We start from the raw sequence: 13,683 nt of genomic DNA, 5'->3' as shown, positions 1-13,683 counted from the left end.
TTTCAATCAAACTGTTTTTTCCCATTTCTATGTCAATACCATACTGGTTTCATAGCATTAGCTTTATAGTAAGCCCTCAATATCCAGAAGAGCATGATATTTGCCTAATTGTTCAGCAGTTATCATATCTTTATTTTTCCAAGTGATCTTCAAATTTTGAAGATCCCCAAATTAACCTATCTGGAGACAGACTAGAGACACGTGAAACTGTGCTTGTGGATGTAACTTCTTCCCGACCACCTTCTCCTCCAGGCATCTGCTGCATCACCACATTCATTAAGGTCTTGCTCTGGGTTTGTGGATTAGCGTCTGTCTTCTCAGTGAACGAGGTTTTCTTTACCATTTCTGTGTCAATGTGGCGACTGATAATAGAAAGAAAAGCCATTAATTTTGGTATGTTTTTTGTCTCCAACCACTGTATTCAGTTTTCTACTAATTTTAATATTCCTTGGAAGAGTCTCTCTTCTGTTTCCTTGGCATGAAATCATTTCATCTGCAAACAAAGCATCTTCCCTTTTAATATTTATGCAAATAATGTTGGGCAATTATCTCACTATGTTAACTGGAGCCTCCTAAATAATGTTGGCTAGAAGGGATGATGAAGGACATCTCTTTTTCCTGATCTCAATGCAGTGTTATTAACATTTCTCCATTTAATATGACCTATGCTGTTGAATTATGGTGGGAATTTATGTACACTCTTTATTTGAAATGGGTATAGAATGTTTCCTATTGTTTTTCCATTTATTTCCTTTAATTTGTAGGTATAATAACCATTATAAATTTTAATTAAATACAAATGTGTATTTATGTAGTTAACATATATTAGACTATGTTTTTACATAGAATAATCCCCATTGCCACCAACTCTACCTTTCACCAGTGAATGTATGAATCATGCCTCTCTTGATTCTTGTGCATCCCATAAAGTTAGGCACTGTAGATAATACTCTTCTCATTTAGAAGTTCAAGCTTAAGGCTGGGTGTAGTGGCTCATGCCTGTAATCCTAGCAATTTGGGAGGCTGAGCCAGGTGGATCACTTGAGGTCAGGAGTTCAAGACCAACCTGGCTAACATGGTGAAATGCCATCCATCTCTATGAAAAATACAAAAAATTAGCCAGGCGTGGTGTTGGGTGCCTGTAATCCCAGCTATTCGGGAGGCTGAGGCAGGAGAATCACTTGAGAATGGGAGGTGGAGATTGCACTGAGCCAAATACACTACTGCACTCCAGCCTGGGCAACAAAGAGAGACTCTGATGCCCAAAAAAATAAAAAGAAGTTCAAGGTTTAGAAGCGATCTCAGAGCTGGTGACCTTTCTGGTTTGCATCACTATCTTTCTTAACGTCAGGAAAGGACAGTTGTTGTTTTTCATAATTAGCATTGTTATGATACTTTCCAATTTAAAGTAATTTCACATACATTATTTCATTCAATGATCACAGCAAATCTGTTAGGTAGCATTATTAATACATTTATTTTAGAGAGACTAAGATAGGATCAGTGACTTAATTTCAGGCAGCTAGGAAATGGCAAACTGAATTCAAACCCTATTCTTTGACTCAGAAGTCCCTAATCTTCTGATTACATTATTCGGCAAGGAGGTGGTGGTGTGTGGATGCAGGGAAATGTGATTCTGGGAGGAGCCTTCCCATCAGAGTCACAAATGTGAGCCTTTGTGCCTCCTTCCTCATCTTTGCTCAGTGGTCCAGCAGCTCAGTGGAGCACTGCATGAGAGCTGCGGAGCTCAGTCCAGACACAGACGTGCACATGCTGCGTGGTTCATTTACATAACACTCAGGACGGAGAGAAACGAAGGGATGCTAGTGCAAGTCAGAAGAGCAGCTGCTTACCGGGAGGGGTGTAGGGGAACATTCTGGAGTTCTGACAAGGCTCTATTTGGTAGCAGGATCTCTAGATTGAGATGGCGGTGTGGGTTTATGCACCTAGGGAGCTTTGTAGAGTTACAAAATTAACATTAGGTCACCTTATATCCTTGACAACATGGATGCTCTTTCAAGGCCAAAACAGGTTTTAAGAGAGCCTTTTGTTTGTATTTAAATAAAAAGTGTTGTCTTTACCGAGGAGGCTCTTTGGCTAGTTGTGAGAGCTGCTTCAGTGTGTGTGCATAATTGCACACGTGTACCTGCAGCGAAGTCTAATTCTAAAACACATATGGGGTGGAGGCTGGGAGGAGGGAGAAGATGAAGAAAAATAACTAATGGGTACTAGGGCTTAATACCTGGGTGATGAAATAATTTGTACAACAAACCCCATGGCCCAAGTTTACCTGCGTAAAAACCTGCACATATGCCCCTGAACTTAAAATAAAAGTTTAAAAAATGCATGTAGAATTTAAAGGTGGGTTGACTAGTTTGGTTACTACTATAAGGCAATTCAGCTCTTTAGAAATGCATAAACCCAGAGAATTGAGTAGGCTAGAAAAGCCCTGGAGGCTTCCGTTATGAAGAAAGAGAATTGCTGGGCTAAAATACATGGACACATCTGTGATCCGTGTGAAATGGAGCAGCAGTGTATGCTGGTTATAAATCCTCTGAAACTCAAGGAATGAAAATTTTGGTACTCAAAAATTAGTGTTCATCTGGGTGGTCCATGCTCTAAGAAATCTTCATACACAAACAGGAACTGGTGATAAAATGTGCGGATGGAGCCTTGGCACTTGGGGCACTTCTGTGGCAGCAGGCCCAGCCCTTGCCTCCCAGATGACCATGCCCAGTAGAGGAGAAGGCCAGTTTTGGAAAGGAGCTCATCAGAGCGAGAGTCCTGCAGCAGACTTCCATTTTTCCTTCCTTGTCTCAGTTGAGGTTACAAACCCCTCTCTGGATTGGTTCCTCTGATCAGAACACTTGTGTTGACTGCCTCAGGCTCGCCAATCCCTACCCACCCTATGGCAAGGGGCTGAGGTTATCTTGATAAGCACAACATGGTCATGACCCTCTTCTTTCTGGGCCCCAGACCCCATGGCTATGAAACAGCAGGGGTGGTGGTGAACACATGGCGGATTTCCAATGCTTACTTCAAGGGGCATTTTTTAAATTATAGAAGCATTCTTTACAGTTGGAGCTATGGGATTGCTTTAATTTGGAACAATTCTAGTGCAAACATTAAAATGCATTTCCTATGATAATGAGGATCATTGTTTATTGAGCATGGACATCCCATCTCTAAATCTCAAAATAATCCCCTAAAAAGGCAGTCGTGGGCTTAGAGCAGCTTGACCAGAAAGACATGTAAGCAACTTCCCTCCCAGGTAAACACAGGGACCCTGAAGCTGGTGGAACAGTTGGAGATCTGGGAAAGGGAAGAGAGCTCTTATCCCGCCCCTACTCTCCCCTTTCCAAATGCAAGGCCTGGAGCCTGGGTTAGCCATGGCCCACGAGGGGAATGTTGTGTCCACCATGATCTGGGTGATAATGAGAATGAAACAGTGTGCTCCACAGGAAAATGCTGTGAAGCTACACAGAAGCCGTCTGTTCTTACTTTTGATTCTTGCATTGCGGCATTGTTGCTAGAATGACTACATCTCTTGGTGTGTTTGAAAAGTTAATGGAAATACAGTTCTTCAATGGACTTACTTTATACTATTTAAAGTTATTTAGGTTGATGATATTAATGGTTTTAAGCATTTTCATTCTCTACTCTTTCCTTTCATTTTTTTTCCTATGGTCTTCTGCAACACAAAAGGGTACCATAAAAGAATGCCATTGCACTATACTCATAATGATTCTTTTCCAAAATTACAATATTTTGTATTATTTCTAATTACTCCCTAATTTGCCTTTTTTATTGAGCTTGGGTATTCAAGGACCATGTCTTCATACACCTGAGTGTGTAGGTTTTCATGCCCCACTCACGCATTCAACAAATATTTATTAAGGTTGATGTGCCTAACACCTAACCACAGCAATACACAGGTGAGCAGAATGTACCTGTTTCCTGCTTTGTGGAGCTTACAGTTTAGTAAAGGATACATACGGGAGTCAAATCATCATATTGTACATTTTTTCTAGAAATAATCTCCAGAAATTATTCATTGATGTGTAGCATTGTTAAAGGTTTTAAGTAGAATCAGAAATAGATCTTCAATAGCTCATCTTTGTGGCATAATAAAACTTGGATCCAGATGTGGGAAGGCAAGACAGGAGGCTGTGGCAAGTAGACCCCCACTCACTAAGGCCTGGACCACCCCAGCAGTGAGGGAGACTGGCAGGTGTGTGTGAGACACCAAGGTGTCGAACTGCCCCTGGGTAGTTTAGTAAAAGGGCAGAAGAGACAGGAAGGTAAAGAGAAAAGCAGGATGAGAGGCCCTGAGATTTTTATGTGATATTTTAGACTTCCTTCTGTGTTTCTCTAATGGTTATACATTGCTTATTCAGTTAAGAAAACCTCAACTAACTATGGATAAAGGTTTGCCTTTAATGTTTAAGTTCTATGGAAAGTCACTCACAAGGTAAGTGGTAAATTGTATTTGTTGAAAAAAATACGGGATGATGTGATGTGAAACCGTGGCTGGGAGAGGCCAGCACCGACCTGAGTCGGGGAGGCTTCTAGGCAGCCCCACCTGTGCCACAGGTGGACATGTCTGTGCCTCAGCAAAGTGTCTGGCCATACTTCAAACAACTTCAGCCTTTGTGTCGGGACCACCCCTTGTTCTCCAGAAAAGTCAACCTCTTTACATCTGTCTCTGCATTTATAATGGAAATAGTATCCTGGTATTCTTACCTCACATGGTCTTAAGAAAGAATCAATGAGATATAGCAGATAATCAAAGCTACTAAAATTCTAAAAATATGCAAATATAAAGAATAACTGGGCCAGGCAGGGTGGCTCACACCTGTAATCCCAGCACTTTGGGAGGCCGAGGCAGGTGCATTACCTGAGGTCAGAAGTTCGAGACCAGCCTGGGCAACATGGTGAAACCCCATCTCTACTAAAAATACCAAAATCAGCCAGGTGTGGTGGCACGTGCCTGTAATCCCAGCTACTCAGGAGGCTGAGGAAGGAGAATCACTTTAGCCCAGGAGGCAGAGGTTGCAGTGAGCTGAGGTTGCACCATTGCACTCCAGCCTGGGCAACAGAGCGAGACTCCATCTAAAAAAAAAAGAAAAAGAATAGCTTGTTTTTATTGTAATATTCGCCTATCCCTAATTGGCTTATGTGGTTGTATTTTCAAATTGTGTGTAAGACACACATCATATCCACATGTGAATTCTTCAGGGCCCTCTTCAGGCCAAAGAAACTGAGGAAGAAAATGCAGAACCCAAAAGCGAGTGGGTGGCTGGGAGTCCTCCAAGGGCATTTTGCAGTCTTAGGAAAAGTCTCTGTATTGTTGCCTACATCTGCGGTAACATTGGCCATACACTCTGTGGTTTCAACATCACAGATGATTGGCTTACAGCTTTGGAGGTCAGTATCTGAAGTGGGTCTGCAGGGCTGTGTTCCTGGAGGCTCCAAGAGAGGCTGTTCCCTGTACTTCCCAGTGTCCAGCGGCAGCCGCTTTCCAGGGCTCAGGGCCCCGCCACATGCTAATGTCTGCTTTCACCATCACGTCTACTTCTCTGACCCTCTTGCCTTCCTCTTTCCCTTACAGAGACCCTTGTGAGGACTGACACTGGGCCCTCCACTATCCAAGATCATCTTCCTGTATTAGTCTGTTCTTGCACTGAGATAATGAAATACCCGAGACTAAGTAATTTATAAAGAAAAGAGGGTTAATTGGCTCACAGTTCCACAGGCTGTACAGGAAGCATGGCTGAAGAGGCCTCAGGAAACTTACAGTCATGGCGGGAGGCAAAGGGGAATTAGGCACATCTTGTAAGGCCAGAGCAGGAGGAAGAGAGAAAAGGGAGAGTTGCCACACACTTTTAAACAACCAGGTCTTGCGAGAACTCAGTGTCGTGAGAACAGCAAGGGGAAAATGGGCCCCATGATCCAATTGCCTCCCAGCAGGCCCCTCCTCCAACACTTGGCATGACAATTGAACATGAGATTTGGGCGGGACACAGATCCAAACCATAGCACTTCCCATCTGCGGACTTTAACTTAATGACACTTGCAGAGTCTCCTGTGTCATGTAAGATACTCACATACTTTATCCCCAGGTTCTAGGGATTCGCTTTAGGGATTTCTTTTCTGGAAAGAAGAGCATTATTCCGCCTCCCACAGGCTCTAAGATGCTGAAACAGCCCCAAACAAATCAAATTCTTTAAATCCTAGGATTACAGAAAAACAGGGTAACCCAACATAGCCTGAGCCTTCAGAGTTTCATCCGGCAGTGATGCTGTGCCCAAAGAAATGGGTCAGATGATCCCCCACTGTGCCAGAATGTTGGGGAGGAAACACAAGGTCAGGCGAGCCAGCGTGCCCTGAAAACCCCTCAATCTCCTGGCTTCTCTCAGTTTGCATTCATTCCCTCACCCTGTGTGACTGCCCCCAAGCTCTCTCTCCTACTGTCCCTGTCTGCGCCTCCCCATAGAAATCCCTGTGTGGATCCAGTTCTGTCTTCTACTCATTGGTCTCTCTCTCTCTCTCTCTCACACACACACACACACACACACACACACACACACATTCCTATCCTCCCTCCCAGTTCCACAATTCTGTACAAAACACCAGGAACCAGCCTGGCAGAGACAGAACCCTCCACTGATGCGGAAGGACAGTAAGTTGTATGGCCAACCCAGCGTTCTCTGTGACAGAGAAGCGAAGAGGAACAACTTTAAACTCTTACACATTGGTAAATTTTGCCCATGGCCCAAGACTATACAACAATGTCCAAGTAATGGCTGTTAGCTTTAAATCGTCTATTTTGTTTGGAGGACTTGAGTTCTTTAAGAACTTGGACCCTGTACATGAATTACTTTGTATATGATAGCGTGTTACACATGTGTTATGTGCCTACGCCGGCCATTACAGGGAGGAAGGTGGGCTTTTTCCTACCCCTTCGTGTAGTCTAATGCCAGACACAGGCAGACATTCTGTGATGATGGTGGCTCTGATGCCCTGGGTGCTTCCGTGTTCCAGCCACTGCTCTGAGCACCTCGTATCCATCAGTGCATTCCACCTGCAGAGTCCCCATGAGAGTCCCCAGGAGAGAGGGGCTGCAGTGTTCCCATGACAGATGAGTAAACCGAGGTACAGAAAGGTCAAATACATCGTCCAAGATGGCACATACAGGAAGAAGTAGCACTCAGACTCCAAGCCAGACAGTCTGGAGCCGGTGCCCACACTCTTAAAGTGAGTGGGAGATACAGGCAGTTGACTGCACGGCATTGCTAGTCACATTGGATAGTGTGGGATCTCACCAGTGCCATAATCAGGTCCACGTGCACATCATCGCCAGATGACGGTGCCGCCCTGCTGACAGACGCACAGTTTAACAAGAGCGTAGGAAGACCTCACCTTCCCTGGTCAGGGGTGCGGGGAGCAGCAGTGCTTCCCTGCCATCGGGGCCGGCATCAGCCAAGCAACCCTTTCCTTCCCGGGTGGTCTCATGTGGCAGAAACAATCATTGATAGAGCAAGAAGGGACTGAGATCACAGGCGACCGCAGCCCCCTCCTGGGCTCCAGTAGCAAAGTGGGAGGACGAAGACTGCATTCATAATAGAGAATTCCTGAAAGCTTGAAAAAACGCGGTGGCTCACACCTGTAATCCTAGCACTTTGGGAGGCCGAGGTGGGCGGATCACGAGGTCAGCAGTTCGAAACCAGCCTGACCAACAAGGTGAAACCCCGTCTCTACCAAAAATACAAAAATTAGCTGGGTATGGTGGTGCGCACCTGTAATCCCAGCTACTCAGGAGGCTGAGGCGGGAGAATTGCTTGAACCCGGAAGGCGGAGGTTGCAGTGAGCCAAGATCACGCCACTGCACTCCAGCCTGGGTGACAGAGCGAAACAAACTCCATCTCAAAAAACAAAAAGCAACAAAGAAAGAGGTTGAGGGCGGTGGCTCATGCCTGTAATCCCAGCACCTTGGGTGGCCTAGGCGGGCGGATCACGATGTCAGGAGTCCAAGACCAGCCTGGCCAACATAGTGAAACCCCGTCTCTACTAAAAATACAAAGTTAGCTGGGCATGATGGTGGACACCTGTAATCCCAGCTACTCGGGAGGCTGAGGCAGGAGAATTGCTTGAACCCGGACCCGGGAGGTGGAGTTTGCAGTGAGCCGAGACCGCGCCGTTGCACTCCAGCCTGGGCTGCAAATTAGAAAATGTTTTCCTCGCCAATATGATTGAAGGAGAGCGAGTTTAAAAGACTTACAAGCACAATTATTTTTAACATGGAATCATGTTTAAAAGAGTTGCACTATAAAATGAAAATCCGGCAGTTCGATCCACGGGCTGGGGGGCACCTCCTTGACTTCCGCCGAGCAAGGGTCTGTGGGCGCTGGTTCCTCCGCGCCGGCCTCCCGGTGACCGCCATCGCCACCTGGTGGCCGTGGGTCTAACACACAGGTTCACTGGAAATGGACTTCGGGGGAGTCTGCAGGATTCCTGAGATTAAAACACCCACCACACAGTGCGCACTCAATGGGGACAGCTGGTAGGAATCTTCGGTGGTCGCTATGAGCGAGGTATTGCACGGTTCAGAGATGAGGATAATACACACACACGTGTGTGCAATGCGCACATTCGTATCCACAGTGCGGAGTGGGGAGCATGGGATCATCTTTCGTAATTTACAAACTGCTTTATAGGAACAAGTAATACCTTAAGAGTTACCTTAATTATAAATTTTTAGCTTCTCTTGTTTGAGTTTCACCAACAGCTTGATTTTTGTAAGAGCATGACTCCCCTTAGCTTCACATCCATCCCTCACAGTGTACCAGCGTACAGAGCCGGCCTTCAGGGCACAATAATTTAGGTTTAAAAGAGTGAGATGGAGAACAAGCCCTGTACTGACTTTACAATGATTTTTAAAAATAAAAATAAATAAAAAAGGCCTTAATAGGAAGCTTAATGTAGTGGAAAGAAGAGACAAGCAGAGAGGTAAGTACTATTTTTGAAACAGGTTAAGTTATAGTCATCACATTATGCATTTTACAAGCAGCACGTGACTTATGAGAAAACAGAGGCCCAGGCAGATGACGTTCATCCCCAGCTTTAAGGTGTACATGGCTGGCTTGTGATTTACCCTAAGCTGAGCTTGCAAGGGCAGCGACCACTCCCTCCCAGGGCTGTGAATGTAGACGCAAAGGAACCAGTGTCCATTCCTCATAGAAAACTCAGCTGATTGAGCTAATTTGACGATTAACACTATCATATTGTAGTGAGGCATGCCGGCGATCTAGACTAAAACTCTGTTACCATGGGGGGCAAAGAACGGCATCCTAACCCAGATTTTGTAACGAGCTGGGCAAATCTCCTAAGGTTGATCTCCATTTCCCTCATTTGTGAATGTTAGGTGTTTTCAGTCATCTAAGTCTCCTTTATTCTCTTAAACAGGCACACACCCTCACTCGCACACATACATATTTCTTTTCTCTGTCATATTTCCGCAAACCAAATTTCCTTGTAAGTGACGTAAGATAGCTATGATTAAAAAAAAATACTTTCACTTTACAGTTAGTATGTTTAAAAGGTAATGTATGTTAGTTTGGACATTTGAAATAATTTATAATTAGAAAGAGAATGCATACATACAGTTTTGTATACTTGAGTATTTCTAACACTATGAAATTAATATTATTGTGTCTTGTATTAATGCGAATCATGATGTTAACTCTTGTCACTAGCAAGGGAAGAATAAGTAAGGAACTGAGGTTAAACCTGGGCTGAGCTGCACTCAGGGATGTACCCTGAAATGCACAGCATGCTTCTCCTACTCCAGGTTTTAAGATGAATTTTTTCTTACGGAAAATGGAAAATGGAAATATGATCATTTAATTCTGAAAACTTGTTTTAGAATTCAAATACTTAATTCAGTAGTCTGCATTGAGATAAATTTTTAATATATTCATTACACAAAAACTGAATTTTATTTTCCCTTAATTACTTTTGGGTAATGACTCCCAAATAAGATGAGATATTTATGAGTTTTTACCTTAGACTACATTTTTCATAGATTACTATTTATTTACTGTAAGCATGAATTCTTAAGTGCCTATTTATGTAGGTAAAAGCACTCTGTAATTTTTAAAGCAATATATTATTACAAGTGTTATTTATTCCTAGCAAATTGCCTAACAGGTTGTCCTCTCACCATTTTTCTAATTTTTTTTGGCCAGGTCAAACATGTTTTCACACCTTTGAAAAATGTACGTGAAAATGTCCTGTTAGCGTGAAGCTGTGATTCAGAGGTAGCGTAAGGTTTCAGTGTAAATGCAAACCCAACCAGTAGCTAGAGATATTCTGTATCTTCAAATGTTTGTCTTAACCACATGGTTGAATATTTAACCTAATGAATATGGTGGCAGGAAAACTGGAAGCAACCATGCGCCCTGGCGCACGCTGTCATTTATACAGAGAGCTCTTAATTCCGTCACTGTTCTCCTAGGAGATGGCGCCTTATTCTATTTACCTCTCATTATGAAAATGTCAGTGTTCCAACCTTGATAAAACTATTGTTGAGAAAGTAGAATGTACTTGATGTTTTCTTGTGGTAGTTTAGTCTGGGAGGGAGGAAGTGGTATTTGATGGATAATTGTTAAATTTAGATTTTTAAAATTCCTTTTGTCATAATAATTCAAGTTTCACTGAAAAAAAATCCAAGCAAAATGACTGGAATTATTTAATATTGATTGGTAGTATCCAAGGCACTATCCTTAACAGAATTTGTTTTGTTGTCGATTTTAAAATTTGAGGAATTTTCAAATATTTTGACAAGCACAAGGCATAACCACATTTATAACCCTTCTATGTTTGTAACAGGCATCCTTGTAATTGATTTTATGGCTATGGGATATCTGAGTAGAGTTTCTCTGGGAATTTCTGGAATCACTGATTTTGATATCTCAACCTTAGTTATAGCCACATAATATTATTGGAGAAATCATTAATATCAGTGTTTATGCACCAATTATTTTGCTTAAGTTATCTTCAATTAGGACTTCAAGTAGAATAGGATTATCTCAGTTGTTTTATTGATTAATATACTTCAACTTATGCTTGAAAAATTTTAAGCAATTCTTCATATTAAATATCTAAGATGGTTTGGAGCACACCGCCTGGAGGAGCCTGTCAGTTTCCCACCTTCATTTGATTCCATCCTATTGTCTTAACTCTCCACTTGGCCTTTGTTTGACATAGATGTTCAAAAATTATTATTGAATATTATTGAATATAAAATATTATATATAAAAATATAAATAATATTCAATAATATAAAAATGTTATTGAATATAAATATAGAATAAAACCCTGACAACTAGCAAATATATCCATTATATAGTGTGGGCATGTGAGTATATGTGTGTTTTTGTACATATATAATATAATATTTTGTCATTCTATCAACTTTACACCCCAAACATAAGCATAAGAATCATGACATGCATTAAAAAAATGAGAAGCATTTGAAGATTTTCACTTTCCATGTTCCGCCTATTACCGACTCTGGCTCTGTCTCATTATTTTGGGGGTTGTCTCCAGTTTCTTCCTCTCTCAGCAGCTTCCTCATTGCTATCTAGTGGAGACGCAGCTCTTATTTCTAGTATGTTTCCTAATTTTTGTTAGTTTTTATTGTGATGATCCTACCCCAGTCATGGTTTTCTTATTCCGTTAAGTTAATATAATTAATGAACGTATTATGCTGTTTAGAATATAAGGATTAGGGAAACATTTGCATTCTAAAGGGAGTCCCTGTCACGTGTTGTTCATGGGTCTCACAACATGGATTGTGTTCTGCCCAATACCAGAGTGAGGGCTGCGTCTTGGCACAGATGCTTTTTGTATCCAGGCTTCCTTGGGAGTGACACACGTCTTCCATCATAGACCCTACACGGCGGTCCGCCTGCTGATCCAACGATGCCCACTGAAGTCCCGGTGATTCTGCAGAGACCCTCAGGATCCCTGAGGGTGGAGACGTCCAGGACAACATGCAGACGGAGTCCACAGATTCCTTCCTTCTCTACTGCAACACATTTTCTCTGGTTTATTTTTCACAAATCCTTACTACTGCATTTTATTCAACAAAAATCTTATTTTGAAGTCATGAGAAGATCCCACCTGTATTTTTTAAGATAACTGCTGTATTTATCTTGGATTAGAAGTGAAAGACATCAATGACGGGAAAACAAAATTGTTTCCGTGGCTCTGGCAAGAGACCCTGAGGGCTTACTGAAGGCAGGGGCAGAGGGAACGCAAGGGTGGGCAGCTGTGGGTGCTCTGCAGGGGGAGAGGTCCAGGAGCTGCTGCCATGTGGAAACCCACCCAAAACCCAGTGGCCTCCAGAAACCACTTGAGCTTCTTTCTCATAGCTCTCCCACTGCCCTCACTGGGTAGGTCCACTCACAGTTTTCATGTGGTTGGTGACAAATGCCAGATGTGTCTGGAGTCTTCTGACAACTGCTGGGCTGATGCCCAGGATGGCTCCAGTGCTCAGGTCTGGCCCCCGGGCCTTGAAGTGGAGCCAGGTGAGGGTTGGCTGCACCTCCCTCACTCCCTGCACAGCCTCTCCACGTGGGTGTCTTGGCTTCCTCCAAGCCTGGTGGTCCTAAGGTGGTCAATGGTCTTACATGGCCTGGCTTTCCCGGGGGCGGATCTTCCAAGAGACCTATATGGAATCTGAGAGGCATCTTCTAACCCAGTCCTGCAAGTCAGATGGCATCAATTGCACTGCATTGCGTTGATCAAAAGAGAGTCATAGGACGGGCAGAGATTCTGGAGAAGGCATGGCAGAAGGCCGTGCATATCACAAGGCATGGCTCACTGGGGACCCACTCTGGAGACAAGTTCCATGATGTGTAGATAAGCTAAATGTGGAAGGTGGAAGGAGGTTTGTTTGCTCATGATTCCAAGGTTTGCTAGCCTGAGAATTCAAGTCATCACTGTGATTGAGATCTCCTGGGAGCAAGGGCAGAGAATGGAGAAGAGAGGCAAGAATGCAGGTTGGGAAGAACATCTGTATTTGACGACTCAGCATGGTGCTCAGTGAAGGGAGTGAAATACAGACATTTTCTTCAAGAACGTAACATGGAATCAGGAGGCTTCTTTGTCACAGGAGACCCGTGAGCTTCCAGAAGGCAAACAAGGACAAAGGCATCTCCTCCGCAGCATTCCAGTCCCTGGATGGCCTTTTCTTCCTCGTGGTTTTGTGCCTAGCCCTCAGCATGGGCCTCATGAGGACAGAACGTGTTCATTGAACATCGAGTGGAACCATGGTCATTCGGGAATCAGGAATGTTGAGGCTCGTCCTGTTTTCGTCGACTGGACGTGGTGCATCCTACTTCTCAGCCTCAGCTTCCTCAACTGCACAGCAGGCTCGTCCTGTTTTCGTCGACTGGACGTGGTGCATCCTACTTCTCAGCCTCAGCTTCCTCAACTGCACAGCAGGCTCGTCCTGTTTTCATCGACTGGACGTGGTGCATCCTACTTCTCAGCCTCAGCTTCCTCAACTGCACAGCAGGCTCGTCCTGTTTTCGTCGACTGGACGTGGTGCATCCTACTTCTCAGCCTCAGCTTCCTCAACTGCACAGCACAGCTCTCCCGCTGTCCCCACCCCGA

The 13,683-nt window shown here is 43.7% G+C and overlaps 1 protein-coding gene across 32 annotated transcripts in view, besides 1 other annotated feature; it reads left to right on the top strand.

The window, feature by feature from the left end:
* MYT1L (myelin transcription factor 1 like) overlaps window positions 1-13,683 on the top strand; it is a 542,163-nt gene that overhangs the window by 201,847 nt on the left and 326,633 nt on the right. The window lies entirely within an intron of this gene.
* Window positions 8,431-8,520: a silencer, noted in NCBI's record as "silent region_11104". NCBI's record gives its function as "represses an Ori minimal core promoter by ATAC-STARR-seq in GM12878 lymphoblastoid cells {active_cell/tissue: GM12878}" and the evidence as "EXISTENCE:reporter gene assay evidence [ECO:0000049][PMID:35858748]".

The sequence above is a fragment of the Homo sapiens genome, chromosome 2 (genome assembly GCF_000001405.40).
Source record: "Homo sapiens chromosome 2, GRCh38.p14 Primary Assembly".
NCBI lineage: Eukaryota > Metazoa > Chordata > Mammalia > Primates > Hominidae > Homo > Homo sapiens.
The sequence above is the reverse complement of the archived record's forward strand: the minus strand, read 5'-3'. Positions and strand labels throughout refer to the sequence as shown.